Here is a 25,604-nt window from a genome sequence, read left to right on the forward strand (position 1 = left end):
AAAACATTTAGTGCCTAACACATAACTGGGATCATAGAGGTTCTCATGAAATATATGTGAAATTGGAACTTTGCTTCTAATATTTCACCACTGTTGCCATTACCCCGAATGTTAGAAGTGTCTGCAGTTTTGCCTCTAACATGTCATCACTGTTGCCATTTTACCCCTGAATGTTAGAAGTCTTCTATATCCTTAGAAAAGCTTCATGGAGGAAAAGGAACTTCTCTACAGCTTTGCAGCTCTCTGGAGATGCCTGGTTACCAACACGTTTTGACAAAGATGGTCAACATGACCTCTGAGGCTAGCTATACAGGAAACTGTGGCAGACTTTCCATAGCCTATTTCTGACAAAGGATTTAGAAGACGATTTCTAATAATGATATGCTGAACCTCCAGAGACCTCAGAGACCTCATCTACCCAAATACTTTTGATGGGGGGGATGTGAAATACAGCAGTTATGTTCAAGCCAGGCAGACACAGCCTATCCAGGTCATGAAAACAAGACTGTTCTGATAAATACTCTCTCTCATGTCCTTCACTGCCCAGTGAAAAGACCTTTCTTTCCTAATGAAGCCGACACAATGACCAATCTACCATGAGCACTCAGAAGGACACCAATCTTGTATGGCATCTCTGTGCACTGGGCTGTGAGCAGCTCTACTGTTCCTCACGTTTCCTCTGTATGCAGATTTTTGTCTGGACAACTAGATTATAAAATCACCCTAACAAGAAATAAGATTGTGTCTTATTCTTCCCTTGGCTCTAAAATACTTAACACAGGGCTCATATACAAACATATACTCAAATAACATTGTTGACAAACTAATGTCTTCAAAGCTACATGTATGAGTAAGGTAACAGAAGTCAAATCTGTTGGTTTTCCTATGTTCTCTGAGCACAGGACAAGACATCGACACATTTTTGCTCGTAATTAGCATAGCCTATTTCACAACAAAGATGTTCAAGTATATCATGTTTTCTGGCGGAATCTGTGCCACAAAACCCAGATCCCAGTGCACTGCTAGCTGTCTTATTTCTGGCTAGTTAGTGCTGGTAGAGAAAAGAAAAACAGTAGAGGCAACAGTAGGCCAGACTTTCACAGACTGTTTGGTTTGCAACATTTATTTGGGTAACACTTACACTGCCTTGGGCTGTACCTAAGTCTTGCCTTGAGCTAGGAGCCCTCAGAGTGCTTTGTACATAAAGGTTTTCAGAAAACATTTTCTGAATAAATGATTAATTGGCTAAAAGCAATTAACAGCTATTTCAAATTCCATCCTGTTTGGGAGTAACACAAAAGAAAAAAAAAAATCTTAGCTATCCCTGAATAAGGAGCTAACCAATTTTCTTATTTTCGTGCCAGGCTATTAAAGAAAATACTACATGCCAGAAAGAACAGACAGGTGGTAATTCATGGTTTCTAAGGAAACCATTGCCTTCATAAAACTATTTAGCAGTTCTGTATCCTCACAGAGAAGAAACCTTTTTTTTTTCCTTTGAGAGAAAAAATCATTCTCTCTTCAGAAAATACAATTGAGTCACACTGTAACGTGTTTCTTCCTTTTACTAGAGGTAAAGTGAGGTCGGAGGTACATGCAGGGGCTTCCTAGGCAATCATGAATACGTCCAAGAGTGGGGAGGGGCCACCCAGCTTCGGAGGCAAGGCTCTGACCCCGGACTGGAGGGAGAGAAGCACACTCGTCAAAGGGGCCATGACCCCTGACCCCGGCCAAGGACCACGCAGCTCTGCGGGTCCTGGGCCTGCGCTGCAGCCCTCATCACTCTCTGGTCGGTTCAAGCAGACAACTAAGTTGACACGGGTGAAACCCTACTGAAGATCTGGATAAAAGCAGACCAAGGTCTAAGCCAGAGAACTGAGGAGTGAAGAGAGGGGGAGCTGCCCATCTGGATGGATTCAACGTGTCCCAAGTGAGAGCACTTAAGAAGGAGGTCCGAGACACTCAGCATCCAAGTGGAATTTAACACAATTCTGAAACTTTTTATTGATTTTTTTGTACAAAAACAAGTATTGTTTTGCAAAAGAACTGATTTCAGGTGCTTCTGATGCATCAGATATTAGGTTGAGTCATCGCAGTTTTTGCCATTACTTTTGCACCAACTTCATAGAATAAGGCCATTATTACTGACTGAAAAAAGTTTAAAAATATAAAAACAAGTAACAACAAAAACAATGACAAGTTATAAGGAGAAGAATTTGCTGCGTGTCCAGACACTGGTATTGAACGATCAGAGAAGAGCTGGTTAAAACCTTGGTACCTTAGCAAACTATGCAAATTTTTAAACAAAGTAAGTGAGTCACAAGAAGAGTCAACTTCAGAATGTACTGGCCAGTTTGATGCCGGTTTCCATCCTGCTTTCTTTCTAGAAGATAAGGTGATACCCAACGTATCTGGGAATCCAACTTCAACACATTTTCTGTAATTGCTGACTCAAAAGGAAACACTTCAAAATGGAGAACCCAAAGTATTCTTGTTTTATAAAGAGGAAAAAAAGTAATTAAAAAAGGGATGGGGGAGAAGGAACTGATTACCTTGACCTTGAATTGGATATAATTTTGAAACTTGTCAGAAAGTATAGCTCATCAACGTTCCTTTTTATCTGTTATGCCAGCTATCAATTTATTGTCTTTCAACTCCAAATCTGCCCTTGTTTTTGCCTGCTCTGCAATAACGGAGCTGGACACAGAAACATTTCTCCTTTGCCAGCTGGCATGATGTGAGGTTTTGTGGTAGGGGGCACTGGAGGGGTGCTGGAGGCAGAAGGGGTTTCTCCGGCTGGCTCTGGTTGCTCCTCTAAGCTGACTCCGGGGGAAGCACACCTTGGGCAGCTTTGCAGCAGAGTGCCATGAGTGACGCCCTCATAAACAGCTCCCTCGGCACCTGCCGGAAGAGCTTCCCTGGAGAGCTTTACAGTGAGTGCCACTGGCCTACCACCTTCCCACAGAGGGCTTTCACCAGTACCCTTGGGTTCTGAGATAGCACCTCCCATGGACACCCTCCCTCAGCACCCCAGAGAACAGTTTCCTGGTGACAGCTGCTGGCATGCCACCTCCCTGTGGAGAGCGTCCCCTGGCACCATCTCAGGGCAGCTCTGTGTTTCAGGGAACCCCACCATCCAGCAAGCCAGGACGTCTGGATCTCAGCCTTGGGGATGTATCACTCCTTCACATTTATTCCTACCCCAGATGCTCCATCTCAGCCCCAGGGATAGTGACTGCTCCTCTATCTGCTCCTCCTGTGCACCCCCTTTTTCTTTTGAGGTGAAGTTTCACTCTTGTCACCCAGGCTGGAGTGCAGTGGCATGATCTCGGCTCACTGCAACCTCCACCTCCCAGGTTCAAGCAATTCTCCTGCCTCAGCCTCCAGAGTGGCTGGGATTACAGGTGCACACCACCACACCCGACTAATTTTTATATTTTTAGCAGAGACAGGGTTTCACCATGTTGGCCATGTCGGTCTCAAACTCCTGACCTCAGGTGATCTGCCCGCCTCGGCCTCCCAAAGTTCTGGGATGACAGGTGTGAGCCACCGCTGGTCTCAAACTCCTGACCTCAGGTGAGCTGCCCGCCTCGGCCTCCCAAAGTTCCGGGATGACAGGCTGAGCCACCACGTGAGGCTTCTCCTGTGTACTCTTGAGAGTCTTCTTTACTCCTCATGAGCCAGTTTCCCATTCCATGATTCCCACATTATAGTAGAAATAATTCTTTATATTAAACTTTCCCTATTCAAATTACTGTGTAGTTTCTGTCTCCTGATCGGACCCTGACTAGATACATCTATGCACAAGATGAAAATTCAAGAAGAATCTACAAAGGAAGATAAAGAAAAATTGATGCAGCTATAATAGAAGAAGATGGAGATGGGGAAAAAAATAGCAACAACAAAACTCTAAATCCAAAGAAGCTGAAAAGACTGTCTGAGATTGGGAGCCTATGAAAGATATCAAACCAACTTGGCAGACACCATCAGCAGAAGTAGATGACGTGAAAGACACAAAAGATGACGCATCACACATTGGATAATTCCATTTATACGAAGTGTCCAGAAAAGGCAAATCTACAGAGACAGAAAGACGAGCAGCTGAGTGGGGCTGCGAGTGGAGACAGGAATTCACTGTAAACTGACACAAGGGATACTACTGGGGCGATGACAATGTTTTCAGGCTGGATTATGGTGATGGCTGCACAACTTGGTAAATTTACCAAAAATCGTTGAGTTGTACACTTGAAGTGGGTGAATTCTTTTTTTTTTTTTTTTGAGACAGGGTCTTGCTCTGTCACCCAGGATGAAGTGCAGTGGCATGATCATGGCTCACTGTAGCCTCAACCTCCCCAGATCAAGCAATCCTCCCACCTCAGCCTCCAGAGTGCTGGGATTACAGGCACGCACCACCACACACAGCTAATTCTAAAATATGTTTTTGTAGAGATGGGGTCTCACTATGTTTCCCAGGCTGGTCTCCAACTCTTGGCCTCAAGAAATCCTCCTACCTCAAGCCTCCCAGAGTGCTGGGATTACTGACATAAACAGTCAGTATGCCCAGCCTAAAAAGCAGCTTTTTAATTGAAAAACATTTCACATTCTTAGTGTAAAACCTGTCATGTGTATAAAAATTTTAAAGCCCCCAAAATGGGGAAAGGAAGCATGCTAGAAAGACCAAATCAAGGCCTGCCTGGTGGTGAGTGCAGATTGGACATGCTCTGAGGGAGAAGTGGCTGACACTCAACACATGCCCCCACAGAGGACTGGGACTAAACACACCGGAAACCAGTTAGAAAGGGAGTCAGGATAACTCCTCCTCAGGCAGGGAAGACTCATGTTAGAATCAATGACAGTCGTTCAGGAGTAGGAAAAAAAGGAACCTAATTACTTTTATTTCTCTAATCTTAAAAAAATTAAGTTGATACCATAATATTTGTACATATTGACAGGGCACAAGTGATATTTTGATACATGCATACAATGTGTAATGGTCAAAGCAGGGTATTTAGAATATCCATTGATTGAACATTTATCATTTCTCTGTGTTGGGAATACTTCGAATCTCTTCTAGCTATTTTGAAATACAGAATATGTCAACTACAGCCACGCTACTGTGCTACTGAACACTAGAACTCATCCCTTCTAACTGTATGGTTGAACCCACTAACCAACCTCTCTTTACGCCCCAACCCACCTCCTCCCCAGCCTCTGTAACTATCACTCTCTTCTCTACCTCCATGAGATCAACTTTTTTAGCTCCCACATATGAGTGAGAACACGGGAGCTCCTGTAATATTTGTCTTTATTTCTCTAAATCTTGATCTAATCTTACACAATTATTTCAAATTCTAATGCCCAACAATATTAAAAGTTTTAATAAAAAGTTCTGGGCCTGGCGTGGTGGCTCACTCCTGTAATTCCAACACGTTGGGAGGCCGAGGCAGGCAGATGACGAGGTCACGAGTTTGAGACCAGCCTGGCCAACATGGTGAAACCCTGTCTTTACTAAAAATACAAAAATTAGCCAGGTGTGGTGGCAGCTGCCTGTAGTCCCAGCTACTTGGGAGGCTGAGGCAGGAGAATTGCTTGAAACCGGAAGGCAGAGGTTGCAGTGAGCCGAGATTGCGCCATTGCACTCCAGCATGGGCAACAAGAGCGAAACTCCGTCTCAAAAAAAATACAAAAGTTCTGAGTTTTGTTGTTGTTTTTGTGTTTTAAAGCCATTCTGAGTAGAAAACTGCTACTTTCTTTCAATTAACCTCACCTACAGGAAACCTACTTATTTGGATCACAAAGCAAGAACAAACATCTACAGCAGTAAATCCTACTTGTACACAAAGTACCCAGAAGAGATGGCTTTCTAAAAGTTGGCTCTGCAAATTCAAAGTTCTAAAGAGACAGTAAGCTTCATACCATTCTATCCTACTTTTGCTGTCTGAATGTGTGGCAGGAGCTTAGGTATAGGTTTGAACTAAAATTCTTCATCTAACTATTCCTTTCTAAACTGTCCACTACCTCCATCAGTCACAATGGCCACTAAATCTAAATTTATCACCATAGGGAAGGATCACCAAGGACAAACTTGTGAGGAAGATTGTTGGGGTCACATGAGGAAGAATCAGTGAGTATCTGAATTGTTCCTGGCTTGTTGTTCTGGCTTAGCTCCAGTTTCTTCCAACTAGTTCTCCAGCCCCTACAGTCCTCGTAACCTTGACAGTTATCACATGATTAAGTATATACGAAAGCTGGTGCAACATTCTCACACATGCATCTACAAGCACATCCACGCTTGCAAAGTAGGCTACCTGAGAACATCGAGGCCAGTGACACTGACAGTCCGTTCTTTGATATGTGAGTCAGGTTAGATCCTTCGCTACCATCTGTGTAATAATGATGATAAAAGGGGGCCCTTAGTATTCCAGCAGGAAATAAACTAATATTCTATACCATATGTTCCTGGAATCAAAACTTGCCATTTGCTCCCAAACATGAAATGGCGTTTAGGAACTTGCATCCTTGGGTAGGTGCTCACTCTAGCTTGGAGGAGAGTTACTGCTACTTCCTACGCCAAGCCCAGCCTCAAGGACCTCCTACGACAGTGGTTCTCAGCCACGGGTGATTATGGCAATGACGGAGGCATTTCTGATTGTCTTGATACTGGGGAGGGGTTACCACTGGCATCTAGTAGGTAGAGGCTAGGAATGACACTAAACATCTTACAGTCCACAGCCCAATCCGTCACAGCAAAGAATGATCTGGCCCACGTGTTGGGAAACCCCGGCCTAAGGTCTTTTCCTTTAAGGATTTCTGTTCTGAAACGACTAGAGAATTACTGATTGAACATCTCCTCAGGGCCTACAACCGCAGCAACAGTTTCTAACAGGAGTGTGCTTTGGGCCTCTCTCTCGGCAGGCTCCTTACAGACTGCACAGCTTCCCGGATCCCTGCTTTGCTGCAGGAAACAGATGTGGTAGTCAAGTGGACGGATCTGAATTTACCTCACTATTCTCCTCCTGAAATTCTGACTGCTGATCCTGGGAGTGAGGTCAGACCCTCTTTCTTTTTTTTTAATTAGGAGATGAAGTCAATCACAGACTATGGTATAACAGTAAATAGATATTTTGTCTTTGTCTCCAGTTCCTGGTGAGAATTCCTAAAATTCTTGGAATTTCTTGAATCATTCAAGAAATTATTCAAAATACGCCCCTTTCAATCATACCTGAGTTTATGCTAATGAGGAGACTCCTGGCAGGCCCCTAGATAGACAGCTTCACAATTGGGGCAATTGGGGGCTATCGAAAGAACCAACCACGTCATTAGAGGGTTAGAGCTTTTACTCCCCCATCGCCTCCAGGGAGGGGAGAGGGATCGAAGACTCAGCCCAGTCACCAGTGGCCGATGACTTAATCGATGGTGCCTATATAATGAAACTTCAATAAAAACTTGAACAATGATGTCCAGGCTTCCTGGTTGGCGAACACATCAATGCACCTGGGAGGGTGGTGCCCCAGACACCACGGGGGCAGGACGAGTTCCTGTGCTCGTGATCTCTTCCTTAGTCCCTGTGTACTTCTTCATGTGGCTGCTCATTTGGATCCTTTACAACAGACTATAAGCATAAGCTTTCCCAAGTTCTGGGCATCATTCAAGCAAATTATCCTGCCTTGGGGAAGGGGGTCGTGGGAATCTCTGAATTTGTAGTCAGCCTACAAGCAGAAGGGCAGGTAGCTTGGTGACCTGTGTCTGGCATCTGAAGCGGAATTAATTTCACAGGACTGTAGCTGCAGGATCCGTGCTAACTCCAGGTAGTTAGTGTCAGAGCTAAATTGTAAGTCACCCAGCTGATGGTAGAGAATTGGAGAGGAGTTGGAAAATCACATACAAACAACCAAACAAACAAAAGGAGTTTTAAATGACTACCTATTGTTGTCATACATAGAAATCAGAGACATTAAGGAGAACATAGAAGGAAGACTTCCTGAATACCTCGAAAATGTGTGAAAAAACGGAGTTTCTGAATGGGAAGAAACATGTGGTTCCTCCATCTGGAGGCCTGTGCAGGCGAATGGGCTCTCTAGATTGTGTAAACAGGAAATCAAAGCCTCTTGCAACACAAGACCTATCTGTCATCACATTATGTTATAATGGAGAATTATAGATACAGTTCACCTCTGTCTACATACACAATGTTGTAACAGAGAATTATAGATACCATTCACTTCAGTAAGGAAACTACTCTTAGTTTCACCCATGAAGGAAGAGCGTTTGTCCCTGAACTGTTTTTTTGTTTGTGTGTTTGTTTTGCTGATGGGAACTTGAAGAGATCTATGATTTGCAGGAGTGGGACATTAACCTGATTTAACATAACTGCCTTCCCAGACTGGAACCCCACTGTTCCTCTATGCTGATACTCCTACCACCACCACCACCACCAATAAAAACAGAGTCTGTGACTGTGCTGAGCAGTGAGCACCGACCGCAAGGGCAGAAATTCAAGCTCTACTTTGTAAACCTGATGTTTTTCCTCTTTTGTCCCCCTGCCCCCAATGATTCTTTTTGTCCTTTTCTCTTTTGAACACTCTGAAACAATTTCAGTTGTGTTATGGAACCCAAGAGAATAGGATTCTAATTTCAAGTGGTATGGACCAGCCCTACAAGCTGAAAGGAGGAGTCAGAGTGGGAACCCAGGAGAAAGACACCACTGAGGAGGACGCGTCAGGGTGACATCAACGAGCAGCCACTCCATCCACCTGGAACACCTGCTTCCAGTGTTCTTCCCTACTGAAACTGTGAAGGGGTTTTGTTTTTAGCAGAAGGCTGTCCCTTACAATAGCTAACAACAATCCATAATGAAGATCTTCTACTTAGGAAACACTTCGCAGCTTATCATTCTAAATGGAAAGAAACAGAATAAAAGTTCCCTTGTAACAAAGTGTCACTTCTTACCTTGGATTTCAAATTCATCAACCTCATCAGCAGAGCCAGAGTCAGAGAGCTGTGCCGAATCACGTGAGCTGAACTGGGAGCTGCTGGAGGTGACCCGAAAGCCTGTTATGTTTAAAAACAAAAAGGAATAAACAGGGCAGAAAGAGGTCTTCTTGTCCTTCCAGTGTCACAATATAAGGGATCTGATATGACCTCAACAGAGAGAAATGGAAACTTTCCCTTTAGAAAGTTTCAAGTAAATAGAAGGTACTACTATCTGGGAAGCAAATCTGGGAGCAGTGTTCTTAGGTCTCCTCATATCAGGAAGCTATTTGGGAAGGGAGCTATTCCTTTATTTATATATATACATATATATATTTAGAGCTGGGGTTTCACCATGTTGGCCAGGCAGGTCTCAAACTCCTGGCCTCAAGTGATCCACCCGCCTCGGCCTCCCAAAGTGCTGGGATTCCAGGCGTGAGCCACTCTGCCTGGCCTGGAAGGCAGGTATTTCTGATGCAGGAAACGGAGCGACTCTAGGATGAGTATTCCTAGCATGATAGAAAAAAAGTAGGACTACATAGAAACATCTGACAGCAGAGGAACCACTGGTTTGGGCACCAGGCCTTATGCTGAAGTTGGGAAAATGTGGGAACAGAAGCATCCACAGGCTCCACTGACTTCCGTGCTCAGCCTCCTGGTACATGGGGAGCAGGTTCTTGGTGCGGATTTGCTGGCGCCGAAGGCGGATCTTCTGCTTCAGCTCCTGGATCTCTCTATCACTGTCTTCCTCTTCCACTTCCTCCTCCTCTAGGCACTGGCTCATCATGTTGCACTTCATTAGCTCGATGGCAGCAATTAAGGACTCTGAGATGCTGAAGTGGGCATTCTCCTGGCGGAAGGAGAGCACCAAACAGGCAAAGGGTTAGAAGTATTGAATGACATACTCATTATAATGTGGAAAAGGGAGTTTCCAAGATAGGAACTGTTCCTGCCAAAAACACCCTGGAGAAATGGACATTTCTACTACGAGGAAAGCTGATGGCTGGAAAACCTATTCTAGGTTTTCTTCACTCTCTTACTTTGCCAAGCCTGTCCCTTCCTGTCTCATTTCTACATAAAAATATGATAGAGAAGAGGCCCAGGATTTCAATCAGGTTCTTTCCCAAAATCATACACCTGTACACAAAATATTAAGATAAATGCTATGTCTCAAGATAAAAGTGCTTTGTAGTCTATAAAATGCTACACAGATGTCATTTATTGCTTATCTGAGCCTTAGAACAAAAGATAGAATTTGATTCTGGAAACAGTATTTACCTAAGGTGCCAGAGTCAAGGGAACCGCAATCATGCAGCAAAAACAATGCTGCCAGACGCAGCGGCTCACACCTGTGAATCCCAGCACTCTGGGAGGCCAAGCCCAGGAGTTCAAGACCCCAGACGCAGCGGCTCACACCTGTGAATCCCAGCACTCTGGGAGGCCAAGCCCAGGAGTTCAAGACCCCAGACGCAGCGGCTCACACCTGTGAATCCCAGCACTCTGGGAGGCCAAGCCCAGGAGTTCAAGACCCCAGACGCAGTGGCTCACACCTGTGAATCCCAGCACTCTGGGAGGCCAAGCCAAGGAGTTCAAGACCCCAGACACATGGGCTCACACCTGTTAATCCCAGCACTTAGGGAGGCCAAGCCCAGGAGTTCAAGACCAGCTTGGGCAACACAGGGAGACCTCCCCCATCTCTACAAAAAAATAAAAAAAATAGCCAGGTGTGGTGGTGCATGTTTGTAGTCCCAGCTACTCGGGAGGCTGAGGCGGGAGGATTGCTCGAGCCCAGGAATTTGAGGCTGTAGTGAGCCATGACCGTGACACTGCACTCCAGCTTAGGTGACAGAGCAAGACTCTTGTCTCAAAAAAACAAAAACACACACACAAACTTGATGCTTCTCTGCCCAGGTTGGCTTCTAAGATAAAATCGCTAATAATTTGGACTCAGTGAGGGGCACATGCTCCCTGCAGAGTTCCTCAGAAACAGAACTTGCTGAGCTTCCCTTTACCGTGAACTTATCTTTACTGTAATCTATACCCAAAACCTCATCAGAACAAATGGCACCACAGACCTTCAGACCCAATCTCCCAACTCATGAGCTCTTCATGAGGCCCTCGATTTCCCACCTTTTCCAGGTCGGCACAGCTGCCGAAGTCTTGCTCAGAGAGGTAGCTGATGAGGGACTGTCCTTCTGATGGTCTTCGGAACATGCCTTCCCCTGAGCACAGGTACCGACCACCTTCTGTGGGAAATGGAATGTGGATGAAACAGCCAGGCTTCTTCAGGAAGTCTTAAGCTTTTGTCATTAAAGATGCTCCCAAGTCTTCCCAGGTAACTGGGAATTAGAGGTTGGAAGAAGATGTCCACCTTCTAAAAGAATTTCTTGCACTTTGGGAGGGCAAGGCAGGCGGATCACAAGGTCAGGAGTTTGAGACCAGCCTGGCCAACATGGTGAAACCCCATCTCTACTAAAAATACAAAAATTAGCTGGGCATGGTGGCACATGCCTGTAATCCCAGCTACTCAGGAGGCTGAGGCAGGAGAATCATCTGAACCTGGGAGGCGGAGGTTGCAGTGAGCCAAGATCGCACCACTGCACTCCAGCCTGGGCAACAAGAGCAAAACTCTGTCTCAAAAAAAAAAAAACAAAACAAAAAAGAATTTCTTGGACTCTTAGAATCCCAGAGCACTAAGCCTCTTGGTTGGAAAACGGTAGAATAAACAGAGAGAATCCTTCTGCCATCTAAAATTAAAGAGAACATGCTCTCCCTCGTACCATACAGTAAAGAAAAAACAAAATAAAAATGTAGAACTTTGGGCTGGGAGGCAGAAAAGGACACAAATGGCTTCCTCCTCTGCATGATTTCCACATAGAGTCTGTCTGCTGGTTACTAAGCCCAGATACTCCAAGGCCTCTTTTCAAGGTCCATCTCATCCACTCAGAGAGCCATCCCATCTGGACCAGCCGACGTACCCGGTGCGAACACCCAGCACGTAAGAGAGGGTGGGACCCCCAAGTCAGAGAGAAGCAAGAGAAATGGCAGAGCAGTGTGATTTCTAGCACGGGGGTTAAAAATGACAAAAGAGTGACTGAGACTGTAACAGTGTGTACCCTCCAGAGAGCTGAGATGAACCCCAAAACTCAGAACTTAGCAGGCACAAGGGGTGAGCAGAGAAAATATACAATTTTAGCCCTGGCCTTCCTAGTACTCACCATATTCCATGTACAGAGAGCTGGGTGTGCTGACTTCACTGCTTTGACCAGAGTAGGGCAAAGGGCCTCTCAACTTCGCCTTATCATTGCAGGATTCTAATGACGATGACCACCAGCGAGTAAAAACACATACGAAATGAGCAACAGGTACATTCCCAACTCTGGAGTTTCAACACTTAACTGCACCCCTTCCCAAAGCCCTCCCAAGCAGGAGAGAGGCGGCACACCAACGGAACAGCCCAAGGGTACAGAAACACAGGGAGGGAAGGAGATGGCAGGTCAGTACATTCTAAGTGGAAAAGAAGAAACGTGATCCAGAATGGGGCAACATAAAGGAAAGAATCAAATCAAAATGGATTCATGGAATTTGCTTCTCTTTCCTTACATCTTTTAACCAAACATTACAGGAATATCAGCTGATTCCTATCCTCTTGACAAACCAATTTAGAAAAGTCTTTAGATGGTAAAACAAAGACAAGTGCATTGAAACTTTTCTGACATCTTGACATTAGGTTTTAAAGTAACATCAGAAGATTTACATTCACTAAGGAAATAAAATTCAGCAGCATCCTAAAAAGAAGCATCAAGGCAGTGCTGGAGAAGCCCAGGGAGAGGGCCCTGTAAGCAAAGGGCTCCGTTACGGGGCTCGGCCCGGCCTTACTGAAGAAGGGAGGGAGGGAAGGCTGGCGAGACAGACAATGCCTGGGACAGGAAGAGCGAGAGCTGGGAGGGAGAACAGTAGCAGGCAGGGTTTGCAGGAATGAGAAACTGATATTCTTCACAAGGAAACACAACATTTCCAGGACCACAGAAGGAAGAACAGGTGGAAAAGCAGGTGGGTGCTTGAAAATGAGCAGGATGCTGTGGGAGAGTGAATGACTGAGCTGCATCTAACCCATTTCCCTGACAGATGTTACCAACTTGCTCCTCTCACAAAAAATGCTACTCTGTGCAAGAGACAATTTTGTGTTCTTCTTGGGCCTCAAAGACTTCTGGTAGCCCTGGCTGTGGGCTCTGTTCCTTCCTACTGAACTGAGGACAAACTAGTAGTCGCCACGATGCCTTGGTAAAAAACCATGATATGACTTGGAAGGGACCTTCAAGATTCCCAAACAGCACACAACACAAACTCCAACACGACCTTAACCTCTTTACAACATGTGGCCATTCAGCCTTTACTTACTGAGTTCACTACCTCCTAATGCCACCATTTAACTAATTCTTAGAATTCCCTTACACTCGTTATCTGCCTTCTTCCAATTTCTTATCTCCTTAAGAAGAACGCTATTCTAAATGATGGTCCTACAGACTTTATTCCTCTTTAACCATCTGTTTTCCAAGCTAACATACCCAATGGCCTCACCCACTTCCAGGAGGCCACGGCTTTCAGCCCTCTCTCAATACTCTGCCTTGCAGACACATTCCAGTGTTCATGTCCATGAATTATGGTACCCAGGATGGAACACAAATCTCAGTTTGAACACCACCATGAACACCAAGGAAACAGACTGAAATAACTAGAAGAATCCTATGCAATAGCTGGAATGGGGTGCAGGGATTTATAGGGAAATGAAAACAGGTGAAAGAAAAAGGAAACGGAACTGCAGGAGAGGGAAAAAAAACAAAAAAACAAAAAACAAAAAAACCAAACATGCAAGTATATCTAAGACCACAGAAAGGGGATAAAATACATTCTGGTGTTAATTCAAGGAAAATAAAGTAATCCATAGGAAGTATTCAGTTATAAGAAAAATTCTGGGCCAGGTGTGGTGGATCACGCCTGTAATCCCAGCACTCGGGAGGCCAAGACAGGAGGATCACTTGAAGCCAGGAGTTCAAGACCAACCTGGGCAATGCGGTGAAACCCTGTCTCTACAAAAAAAAAAAAAAAAAAAAAGTAAAAAAAATTTAAAAAAAGAAAAAAAAGTCTGCTACTGATTCATCATGATGCCTCAGACAAATAGCAGGCCTCAGTTTCACCTTTGGGCAAAACTGAATTGATAAGTCTTGACTCTGCCTCCCAGAAGCTGTTGAGAGACTGAACGAGGCATTTGGAATTGTGTATAGAAAACACATCATATGAAATACTGGTATCATTTTATAGACAGTTCCAAGCATCACAACAAGACCAGGCTAGCCAGACTTGATTTGACACCAGACTGAAGGAGGTTCTGAACTAAGAAAGGTGGTCACAAAACAGAACAAAGAGGAGGTGGAGGACCGATTCCCAAACCTGCAATGGGATCTTCAACTATAATGGTGATATTCCTGGGGCCTCCTGCCGGTAGACAGACAGGTGCAGAGGAGAGTCCAGATAGAGCAATGAGAATACAGAGAGAGAAAAAAAGTGTCCTAAATTTTACCCAGCAGAAGTGGGGATGGAACTCCCAAGAGGAAACCCCAGTTGTGAAGGACGGATGGCTTGTCCAAGAAGCTGTGCGTGACCCATATTTCCTCAGATCCTTCCGCACACATTTTCGCGGGCTCCCTTTTTCCAAGGCAGGATTCCACTGGAATCCATATGGATTCAAGAATGGGGCGGGAAAGTTTTACATGCTCAAAGGCCAGTGGCTTGGAGTATGGCAGACATCAGGCCTGCAGCAGGAGATGTGAAGTGAGGGTCCAGCCCAGTCATCTTCACATCTAAGAAAGCTCATGGGAAGACAGGCTTTGATTTGGAGATTCTTCTCCTCAAGATTTCCAACAAGTTAAATCACATTCTTGAGGGAAAACAAAGACAAAAGTTTGTAATTCTGAAGGTTTCAGATGAGGGCCTTAGCTCTCACCTTTCCAGAAATTACAAAGAGAAAGCAACGCTATCTCCAGTTGCTAAAGAAACCGCCCCCTCTTTTTTTTAGGTCCTTGAATTTTTCACATTTTATTTTTATATTTTATTTCTGGGGCTTTCCTGACCCAGAATGGCTTTGAGCACAAAGCTCCATGCTATACTTCCTCTTATGGAGATCCTACTACAAACAAAACCCAACCAAAGCCTGCCGGATACCACAAGCCGGGAAGGATGATGGCAGGGAGATGGCAAAAGCAAGGAGCCCCACCTTCCCCACGAGTAGGCTGCCCCTGCTATCAGCTGGTGTTTGGTGAGGGAGGTCCCAGCTGCCAGGGCCTCCTTATCTGACGGCCTCTCACCCTGAATCAGTGATGCGGCCGTCAGCCCCACCGACTCAGTTGCTGGATCGCATCACCCTGCACTCACTATAGCCTTCGTTTTAATTAGAAACCCCAGTATCTCTCTGCCTCTCTCACATTGGTATTATTACACCCTGGGCAAACTTCTAAGACGTCACAGGAAATGACAGAACTTAATGGGATTATTTTTAAAGCTCAATAATACTTTCCCCAATCCAAGAGATACTTTGAAAACTCGCACTATGAGTCACGCTATCCTCTGATGTTACCAAACTAGTAAAGAATCCAGGAAAACATTTAATATTAGCAATGTATAAAGAAACAAACATAAATAGACTTAGAGATTTTGAGTCTCAGTATTTCGTTATAAACTTCTTTCATTACAAAATAAGATGTTGTATCACCAGAAACAGAACATCTCTTTCTGCCACCTGAAAAGTCCCCATAACAAGCCCTCTCTTACTCTCAATTCAGGGTCATCTTGCTAACTAGCAGCCGGTGTTCCTCATTACCTGGAGCTCCCCTGGAGGCAATGCTGGTATCCGAATGGGAGCGAATGTGGCTTTTCTTTGCCCCACTGGTGACAGTGAGTGTCTGCCCCTCTGAGAAGCTGGACCTGCGGAGGACACTGGACAGCTGGCTCTCCCCACCTCCTTCCTGGTCCCCTAAGGAAGAGGCAGCAGAATCTGGCTTCTGGGAGCTGCTGGAGGAGAACAAATTGGAACTGCTGCTCTCGGCATTGCTGCTGTGACTCTGACAGCTGGCAGTCCGGCCTCGGGGGTCCAAGTTGCCAATGGCCAGGTACTCAGGCCCCTCACTGGCATCACCTGGGGAATCATTCTGGCTGCTGACCCAGGATGCCTCTATGGGGCTGGTCAGAGTACTGGAGCTCATTTCATTTGGGGTCAAAGGGGAATCCCTGGCTAGTGCAGAGACTGAAACTGGGGGGGCTTGGATGGTTTGATCCTCTGCTGGTGAGACGTGCCCTCTGCTTTCTTGAGGTTTCCGGGGAGGGCCAGAGAGTGGAAAGGAAGTAGATCTTCTCTCTAGAATATAAAAGGAAATGGTAAGGGGAGCAAGGGTGAGGTGGAATCCTGCAGTATGTATGAAGGACTGGGTGACCAGGACATACGATGTCACCTCAGAAACGGCAAGCCAAATAAAGTACAAAATTATTTAGAAGCAGCTAAGTCAAGAGTATGGGCTCCTGAGACAGTGCTTTATTGCTTATTAGTATGCATTCCTCATCTGAAAAATGAGCAGTAAGAGGACTGTTTGAAGGCTCAAATGGGATAACACATACAAACTGAACACAACAGAGCCTAGTACATGATTGGCAATCATTCGGTGTTAGCTAGTATTGAAATGCCTTCTTGGCAATGTGGATTAGAAACCCAGGGGAATCTACAAACATCTCTCTCTTCTGTTACTTCATGATTCTACTGAATTATTTCAAGCTAGTCACTATATAACTTGTAAAGATGTCCCTTATTAAGAAAAACTACCAACCCAAGTCTCAATTTTCCAAGCCTATGAGCAACCACAAAGTCTTCTTACTTTCCAGGGCTGGGGATAAATGTAATGACCACTTTTTCCTGTCCCCATACCTGAGCCATTGTTGGGCACGGATTGGTGGAGGCTAGAGAAGGACCCAAAGTAGGAATGCTGAGCATAGCTGTTTGGAGGGGTGTATGTGGAACTGGGCAGGGCTGTCAGGCTCTGGCTCTTTGTCACCAGGAGCGGGCTCTCGTGCTTTCTGGCAAACTAAAAAGCAAAACAAAACCAAAAAATGTGTCAGAGTTAAGGACAAAGGGCCTCAGAGTGGGGGCAACGCAGTACTGCAGAAATGCCATAGAAGCTACCTTTGCAGTAGGCCTGGACTTTAGCCAGAGCCTGTAGATACAGCAAGGCTACCTTCTACTACAGTATGTAATTTACAACTGTGAAACCACAGCATCTGCACTGGAATCCTTCCAGGTGTTAAACCAGGAGTACTTTATTACAGAGGCAGCACAACAAAGTGCTGATGTATGTGGAATCAGAAGTCAGACAGACTAGGGTTCAAATCCAGGCCCTGACACTTATCAGCTATTTGATCCAAACTTTGGACCACGTATCTACTCTGTGCCTCAGCAGCCTCCTTTATAAAATGAGATCAATGCCCACTTCACAGGGTTATGAAGAGTCAATGACATGATACATTTATCATACATAGCACCGTGCCTGGCACATACAAAGTATTAAATGGATAGTAACCAACAATCAAAATTAAACGAATCAGGCCGGGCACAGTGCCTCACACCTGTAATCCCAGCACTTTGGGAGGCCAAGGCGGGCAAATCACTTGAGGTCAGGAGATCGAGACCAGCCTGGCCAACATGGTGAAACCCCGTCTCTACTAAAAATACAAAAATTAGCTGGGCGTGGTGGCGTGCACCTGTAATCCCAGCTACTCGGGAGGCTGAGACAGGAGAATCACTTGAACCCGGGAGGCGGAGGCTGCAGTGAGCCAAGATCATGCCACTGCATTCCAGCCCAGCCTGGACAACAAAGTAAAGACTCTGTCTCAAAATAATAATAATGATAATAATTAATTAAAAGAATCTGGAGAGATAGGGGATCTGCTTCTCTAAGAAGTGGGGACTCTGATTCCATTCTAGCTAAGGCACTGACTGGAGTATTAGTGATGGGATAAGTTAATTTTAGGCAACAAATTTTCTTTGTACTATAAAATTTTCTTTACATCAAAGAAAAAAACATGAAAAAACTGACCCCGTGTAACATTAAGCTATGCCAGGTCTGACACTAAACTCTATCCGATTCAAAACCATCCCTCTTTTCCCCAGATCTTTGTCAAGGCTTGGTATCCTTTGTCAAAAGATACCACAGGTTTAACAAAATCTACCTCCCCACTCCCCAGCTTAGGTCTACTAAGCACACGACCTAAGCCTAGACTTTCTACTTCAATAGGTACTTAACAGTACCTCCCCTCCTCCAAGCATTTTAAATGAAAGCTGGCCGGGCGCGGTGGCTCAGGCCTCTAATCCCAGCACTTTGGGAGGCCGAGGCGGGAGGATCACGAGGTCAGGAGATCGAGACCGTCCTGGCCAACATGGTGAAACTCTGTCTCTGCTAAAAATACAAAAAAATAGCTGGGTGTGGTGGCGGGCGCCTGTAATCCCAGCTACTCGGGAGGCTGAGGCACAAGAATCGCCTGAACCCAGGAGATAGAGGTTGCAGTGAGCTGAGATTGCACCACTGCACTCCAGCCTGGGAAACAGAGCGAGACTCTGTCTCAAAAAAAAAAAAAAAAAAAAAAAAAAAAAAAAAAATGCAAGCCTTTCAGCTCACAAAAATGGCTAAGTGAAAAAGTTTGCTGTAGAGGGCTACATCCTGCTGAGCTCCAGGGACCCAGCATAGACGTGGATAATTCCTTGTCCCCTGTACCATGGACGCATCGATCTGAGCCAGGAGGCGGGGGTTGTTCTGTTCCACTGCTTCCAGGCACTGCAGCATGGCCGTGACATGAGCGTCACTTAGCAGGAAGGCAGCATCTGGGGAGAGAAAAGCTGCCACAGTGATAGAGCCCATCAGGGAGGCCTTGAGAGAAGCTTGAGGAAGCAGAAAGGGAGAGGTAAGGATGAATGAGGAGGAGGGTGAAGGCAGATCAGAAACAAAGTAGAGGAGAAGCTGAAGAACGCGAGGTGCAGCAAAATGGCCAGGGCAAGAGGCTTCAACGTCAGAAAAATCCAGATTTGAATCCTGGCTCTGAGTGACTTTGGCCAAGTCGCCTAACCTCCTGGAGCCCTGTGGATTGGAAACAGTAGCACCAATGCCCAACTCTCGGGGCTGCTGTGAAGATACTGGACAGCAGTGACGGGCACACAGGAAACTCGTGGTAAATGGTGGCTATTCTTACGGTTTGTGTGTGTGGCCGTAGGGGACGACCTTAACATAAAGCTGGATTGTGTCTTACTTGGGAGGTGAGAGGTAAGTCTGGATATATGTTTCTGAGTAGAATCCCTATGGCATCAAGTGAAAAACAGGAGGCCCTGCCGGGCACGGTAGTCACGCCTGTAATCCCAGCACTTTGGGAGGCCAAAGCGGGCAGATCACCTGAGGTTGGGAGTTCGAGACCTGCCTGACCAACATGGAGAAACCCCATTTCTACTAAAATTACAAAATTAGCTGGGCATGGTGGCACATGCCTGTAATCCCAGCTACTCAGGAGGCTGAGCCGGGAGAATTGCTTGAACCCAGGAGGCGGAGGTTGCAGTGAGCCGAGATCACGCCATTGCACTCCAGCCTGGGTGACAAGAGCGTAAGTCCATCTCAAAGAAAAAAAGAAAAATAGGAGGCCCTGGTACCAGAGGGGTAGAGGATAGTGAGGTGGGTGACAACGAGGAAGCACAGATGACAGTCCTAAGTGGCCTCTACCTACCTGTGTAGAATTTTCTGATATACTGTCTATCCCCGAGCAGGGGCCGGAGCTGGGCTGAGAGGCAGTGGTACTGCAGGCTGTGCTGCAGCCACAGCTCGGCAACAGCACGTTCACTGGCACCATCAGCACTGCTCTGGTCGTTCTCGTGCACGCTGATGAACTGGGAAGCAAAGGGGCATGAGTCAAAACACACATCCTGGTAGATACGGCAAGATTGAGGCCTAATGACCTGAGAACTAAATTGAGACAGGTAAGGGAAATGCTTTGAAAGGCTTCACCCTGGGTCCCATGTAGGCAGGCTTTTTTGAAAATAGCAAAACTTTTTTTCCCTTCCCCAGAGGAGAAAAAGTGGCCTGGACCAATGGGTTTGCATGTTTTTTTTTTTTAAGCAAATAAAGTCAGTCCCTACAGGGATAATTAATTTCCTTTCCTCAGCTGATAGGCAACTGGACATATTCCCTCCTTGGAGCCTAGAAGATTCTTCTGACAGAGCCTCAAACAGTGAAGACCCACAGCTCTGCCAGCACAGCCGCTCTGCTCTCACTCTTACCTTCTCCACGTGAAGGGCTGAGTGGGGACTGAGCCACCGGATGTCTTTCACGAACTGCCAGTAATCCGTCTGGCGGCGGCACGCCTGCAAAGGGAACACATACAATGAGCAAATCACGACCATTCTGGACCAGATCTAGTTCTAGGGTTGGCATTCAAAGATAGGAAAAGGACCACAACCTTCCCTTGCCTCATCAAAGGTTCTTAGCAGCAATCAAAGGATACACACAGAGGCCAGGGGTGGTGGCTCACACCTGTAAACCCAGCACTTCAGGAGGACTGCTTGAGTCCAGGTAGACTGGCCCATCTCTACAAACAATTTAAAGCTTACCCCGAGTGGTGGGACATGCCTTAGTCCCAGCTACTCAGGAGGCTGAGGTGGGAGAATCACTTGAACCTGGGAGGTCAAAGCTGCAGTGAGCCATGATTGTGCCACTGCACTCCTGCCCAGGCAACAGAGTGAGACCCTAACTCAGAAAAAAAAAAAAAAAAAAGAAAAGGAATTAAAAAAAAAAAAGGAATACTACACTTGACATATGTTTACCCTTTTAAAGAATAATTGTTAAAGATTATTTTAACCATTCTTTTGAACAGGTAACATATGCATATGACATACAAGGTATACAGTAAAAATAATGTTTTCTTTTTCTTTTTGTTTGAGACAGAGTCACTCTGTCACCCAGGCTGGAGTGCAGTGGCGTGATCCAGCTCACTGCAACCTCCACCTCCCATGCTGAGGCGATTCTCATGCCTCAGCCTCCCGAACAGCTAGAACTACAGGCACATGACATCACGCCTGGCTAATTTTTGTATTTTTAGTAGAGATGGGGTTTTACCATGTTGGCCAGGCTGGTCTCAAACTCCGAGCCTCAAGTGATCTGCCCGCCTTGGGTCACTTGTGTTGGGATTACAGGCATGAGCCACCGTACCCGGCTGAAAATAATGGTTTCTACTCCTTTCTCTCTACCGTTCTGTTTTCTAAAAAATAATTCTTAAAACTGGTAAAGAGCTATTGTTAAAAGCCAGAGCTGGATGTCTTTAGCCCCTACTGCAAAAGCAAAATCAAATAAGGAAACATCTACTTTTCCACGCCACCCAGGTCAGGGAAGAGCTGTGGAGGCAAAGAAATGCCCAGACCAGATGAAATGGTCTCACGCTGGGACAGGCCTCAACATGCAAAATGTTTGTACCATAACAACCCAATTGTTGTTTTTCGATAACCTTTTCTGAGACTACTGGGTAGGGATTAAAACTAAAATCTAAATAATTAAAAATATATAGAGCTAGCACAAGTATCAAGAGACAGACCAGGCCAGGCACGATGGTTCATGCCTGTAATCTCAGCACTTTGGGGGGCTGAGGTGAGCGGATCACTTGAGCCCAGAGTTTGAGACCAGCCTGGGCAACATAGCGAGACCCCATCTCTACTAAAAAATCCAAAAAGTTAGCCAGGTGTGGTGGCACATGCCTGTAGTCCCAGCTGCTTGGGAGGCTGAGGTGGGAGGATCACAAGAGCCCAGGAGGCAGAGGTTGCAGTAAGCCGAGATCGTGCTACTACACTCCAGCCTGGATGACAGAGAGAGATCCTGTCTTAAAAAAACAAACAAAAAAAGAGACAAAGACCAATCAATGGTACAAAATAAATAGCCTGAAAGAGACCTTAAGATATATCAGAACTTAATACACGATCTAAAACCACCTCAACAGTCAGAGGTGCTTCTTTGTAAAAAGTCTTTCTTCTCGCCTCTATACTGCGAGGGTAGAAGTGAGAACCGGAAATGTCAGATGTGCAGGCTCTTTTGACAATAAACATCATGAAGACCTTCAGTATTCTGGTGGTAGTGCGGCAGGGACTCTGGTATCTGGTTGAGTGGATTTTAAGTGGCCAGCCAGGGCTGGGCAGCCGTGGGACATCAACTCCAGCATGTCTCTTGGTTACATCATTTTTAAGTGAAAAGCGTGTAAAATTGTGGCCGGGCGCGGTGGCTCACGCCTGTAATCCCAGCACTTTGGGAGGCCGAGGCAGGCAGATCACGAGGTCAGGAGGTCAAGACCACAGTGAAACCCCGTCTCTACTAAAAATACAAAAAAATTAGCTGGGCGTGGTGGTGGGCGCCTGTAGTCCCAGCTACTCGGGGGGCTGAGGCAGGAGAATGGCATGAACCCGGGAGGCAGAGCTTGCAATGAGCCGAGATGGCGCCACTGCACTCCAGCCTGGGTGACAGAGCGAGACTCCGGTCTCAAAAAAAAAGAAAAGCATGTAAAATTGGTTTCTTTTCTTCAGACAAAATTTTAAACTAACTTAAACCCTTAAATAAACTACTTTTTTGTTTGGGAAAAAAAATGGAAAAAATTGATTATTCAAGAAATATTGTTGAGAAAATTGGCTGGCTAGAAGTAGACCAATTTAGGCATTCTCCTCAAATCATAGAAAATAAATATGATTTATTTTATAAATTCCAGAATAAATTCCACCTGTATTGAAGAGTTAAAAAGGAAAAAGGAAACTACAAATCCACTAAGAAAAGTAAGGATATTGGATTTCTATGCAGATAAAAGTTACAATGTTTAAAAGCAGAAGTGCAAATCAAGCCGGGTACAGGGGCTCACGCCTGTAATCCCAACAATTTGGGAGGCTGAGGTGGGAGGGTCACCTGAGTCAGGAGAAGTTCGAGACCAGCCTGGTCAACATGGTGAAACCCTGTCTCTACTAAAGATACAAAAATTAGCCGGGCATGGGGCACATGCCTGTAGTCCCAGCTACTCGGGAGGCTGAGGCAGGAGAATCACTTGAGCCTGGGAAGTGAAGGTTGCAGTGAGCTGAGATCAAGCCACTGCCCTCCAGCTTGGGCAATAGTGCAATACTCTGTCTCAAAAAAAAAAAAATAATAATAATGCAAGTTCTGATTCAGCAGGTCTTTCCTTGCTACAAAAGTGCAAATCATAAAGGAACAGAGAGAGGGATAAATTTTATGAATAAATTTCTTTACATAAAAAAAGAATGTTTAGCATTTTTTATGATAGCAAATAAAGAAAAATATGTAAACAATTTTTTTTTTTTCCAAGACGGAGTCTTGCTCTGTCACCCAGGCTGGAGTGCAATGGTGCAATCTCGGCTCACTGAAACCTCTGCCTCCCAGGTTCAAGCGATTCTCCTGCCTCAGCCTCCCGAGTCGCGGGGATTACAGGTGTCTGCCACCACGCCTGGCTAATTTTTGTATTTTTAGTAGAGATGGGGTTTCACCATGTTGGCCAAGCTGGTCTCGAACTCCTGAACTCAGGTGATCCACCCACCTCAGCCTCCCAAGGTGCTGGGATTACAGGCGTAAGCCACCACACCCGGCCTATATGTAAACAACTTGAACATTTATCAGTAGAGTACTGGTTAAATTAGGGTACACTTGTAATATATACACATTAAAAGCAATGCTACGAAGAAAAAAAAAGACTACAGTGGTAGACTCAAAAAAAAAAAAAAAAAAAAAGAGCAATGCTATATTCTTTGCTGAAAGAATGGCTTTCCAATTCTCCCAACGTTGCCAAAGAAGCACTCAAGTTGGGTATAGATAATTCTCTAGAATAAACATGCACTTTTACTCCCACCAATTGAGTTGTGGCTTACCAAGAATCAGTTATTTTTGTTCCCAAACCTATTCCTGTCAGTTGTACTTGTTATAATTTCACATTTAAAGTAATGATTATGCACTTTGAGGAAATGACTGTATTTATAAACACTAGTATGCTCTGAAAAGCCTTTTCAGTAAAGGTAAGTCACTATAAAGAGTTGATACTGAATTAGGTGGAGGCAAGACAATTTTCAGAAGTTAGGGGAAAAATGAAAAATGAAAATTTTATATTCATACTACAGGATTTTTTAAATTGCTGGCTCAGTATAAAAGAAATTGAAACTGGAAATTCTATCGCATAGTTTATATAAGAAAGATGATACAGACTCCATCAGTGGGCCCATACTCACAGAATAGGCTTTGACCCAATATCCTAAGATTGTTGAATAGATATAAATTTATGTTTTAAATTAAAATAAAATGTTTGAGTTACATATATTATCACTACTTGATTTCCCTCACTTCGTCAATCAGTTAATGATCCAGGTCATGTTGCATAAGCAGTTTTTTCCTGTTCTTATCGAAAAATGGTGTGGAGTTCACAGAGTAAATAAAAGAACAAATGTTTGCATGTTGAGGGAAAAACCACCACCATCACCACCACCACCACCAACAGATGCTGTAAGAATGAGGAACTACCCGCTACCATAATGAAAAGCTACTATGGGTTTTTTTTTTCTTTGAGACGGAGTTTCTCTCTGTTGCCCAAGCTGGAGTGCAATGGCGCGATCTCGGCTCACCGCAACCTCCACCTACCAGATTCAAGCAATTCTCCTGCCTCAGCCTCCTGAGTAGCTGGGATTACAGGCTTGCGCCACCATGCCCGGCTAGTTTTGTATTTTTAGTAGAGACGGGGTTTCTCCATGTTGGTCAGGCTGGTCTCAAACTCCCCACCTCAGGTGATCCGCCTGCCTCGGCCTCCCAAAGTGCTGGGATTACAGGGGTGAGCCACCGCGCCCGGCCTGAAAAGCTACTATATTAAAACTGAGTGGTGATGGCAAATAAACAGAGAACAACACACCAGAATAGAAATTGAGAAGTTGATACAAATGCATAGGAAATTAAATACATTCCAAATAAATTACAGATGGAACAATTTGAATGTAAAAAACTAAGCCATAAAAGTAATAGACAAAACCATGGGAAAACACTCTTAATAACTGCAGAGTAGGCTGGGTGTGGTGGCGCACACCCGTTTAATCCCAGCATTTTGGGAGGCAGAGGCAGGCGGATCACTTGAAGTCAGGAGTTCGAGGCCAGCCTGGCCAATATGTGAAACCCTGTCTCTACTAAAAATACAAAAATTAGCCAGGCGTGGTGGCATGCACCTGTAATCCCAGCTCCTCGAGAAGCTGAGACGGGAGAATTGCTTGAACCCAGGAGGCGGAGGTTGCAGTGAGCTGAGATCGTGCCACTGCACTCCAGCCTGGGCAACAGAGTGAGACTCTGTCTCAAAAAAAAAAAAAAATCACACAGTAGAAAAGCCCTTTCTAAGCACCACACAAAGCCCTAAGAGAAGTCATAAAAGAACTGATTAATTTGACTTACTAAAAGTCAGATATTTTGGCACAGTAAAAGCCACCATAAGAAATGTCAAAAGACGGCCGGGCGCGGTGGCTCATGCCTATAATCCCAGCACTTTGGGAGGCTGAG

At 45.2% G+C, this 25,604-nt stretch overlaps 1 protein-coding gene across 9 annotated transcripts in view, besides 2 other annotated features; it reads right to left on the reverse strand.

Moving 5' to 3' along the window:
- Positions 1-25,604, reverse strand: part of RUBCN (rubicon autophagy regulator) — an 80,954-nt gene that overhangs the window by 15,899 nt on the left and 39,451 nt on the right. For 3 of the 9 annotated variants that reach the window (XM_006713831.5, XM_047449268.1, XM_006713827.4), the window contains 11 exons: positions 20,327-20,410; positions 19,777-19,936; positions 18,783-18,889; positions 16,943-17,099; positions 15,848-16,381; positions 14,422-14,466; positions 12,189-12,284; positions 11,101-11,216; positions 9,610-9,820; positions 8,950-9,051; positions 6,309-6,383 (listed from right to left, as the gene is read on the reverse strand). In XM_006713831.5, coding sequence (XP_006713894.1) covers positions 6,309-6,383; positions 8,950-9,051; positions 9,610-9,820; positions 11,101-11,216; positions 12,189-12,284; positions 14,422-14,466; positions 15,848-16,381; positions 16,943-17,099; positions 18,783-18,851 — 1,405 coding nt within the window. In that variant the 5' untranslated portion in view covers positions 18,852-18,889; positions 19,777-19,936; positions 20,327-20,410. The remainder of the gene's footprint in view (positions 1-6,308; positions 6,384-8,949; positions 9,052-9,609; positions 9,821-11,100; positions 11,217-12,188; positions 12,285-14,421; positions 14,467-15,847; positions 16,382-16,942; positions 17,100-18,782; positions 18,890-19,776; positions 19,937-20,326; positions 20,411-25,604) is intronic. The other 6 variants (NM_001145642.5, XM_005269374.4, XM_017007543.2 and 3 more) reach the window with 4 other exon arrangements.
- Positions 23,840-24,040: a silencer, noted in NCBI's record as "peak4996 fragment used in MPRA reporter construct". NCBI's record gives its function as "represses an SCP1 promoter by STARR-seq MPRAs in K562 erythroleukemia cells {active_cell/tissue: K562}" and the evidence as "EXISTENCE:reporter gene assay evidence [ECO:0000049][PMID:32103011]".
- Positions 24,586-24,695: an enhancer, noted in NCBI's record as "active region_21112". NCBI's record gives its function as "activates an Ori minimal core promoter by ATAC-STARR-seq in GM12878 lymphoblastoid cells {active_cell/tissue: GM12878}" and the evidence as "EXISTENCE:reporter gene assay evidence [ECO:0000049][PMID:35858748]".

The sequence above is a fragment of the Homo sapiens genome, chromosome 3 (genome assembly GCF_000001405.40).
Source record: "Homo sapiens chromosome 3, GRCh38.p14 Primary Assembly".
Lineage (NCBI taxonomy): Eukaryota > Metazoa > Chordata > Mammalia > Primates > Hominidae > Homo > Homo sapiens.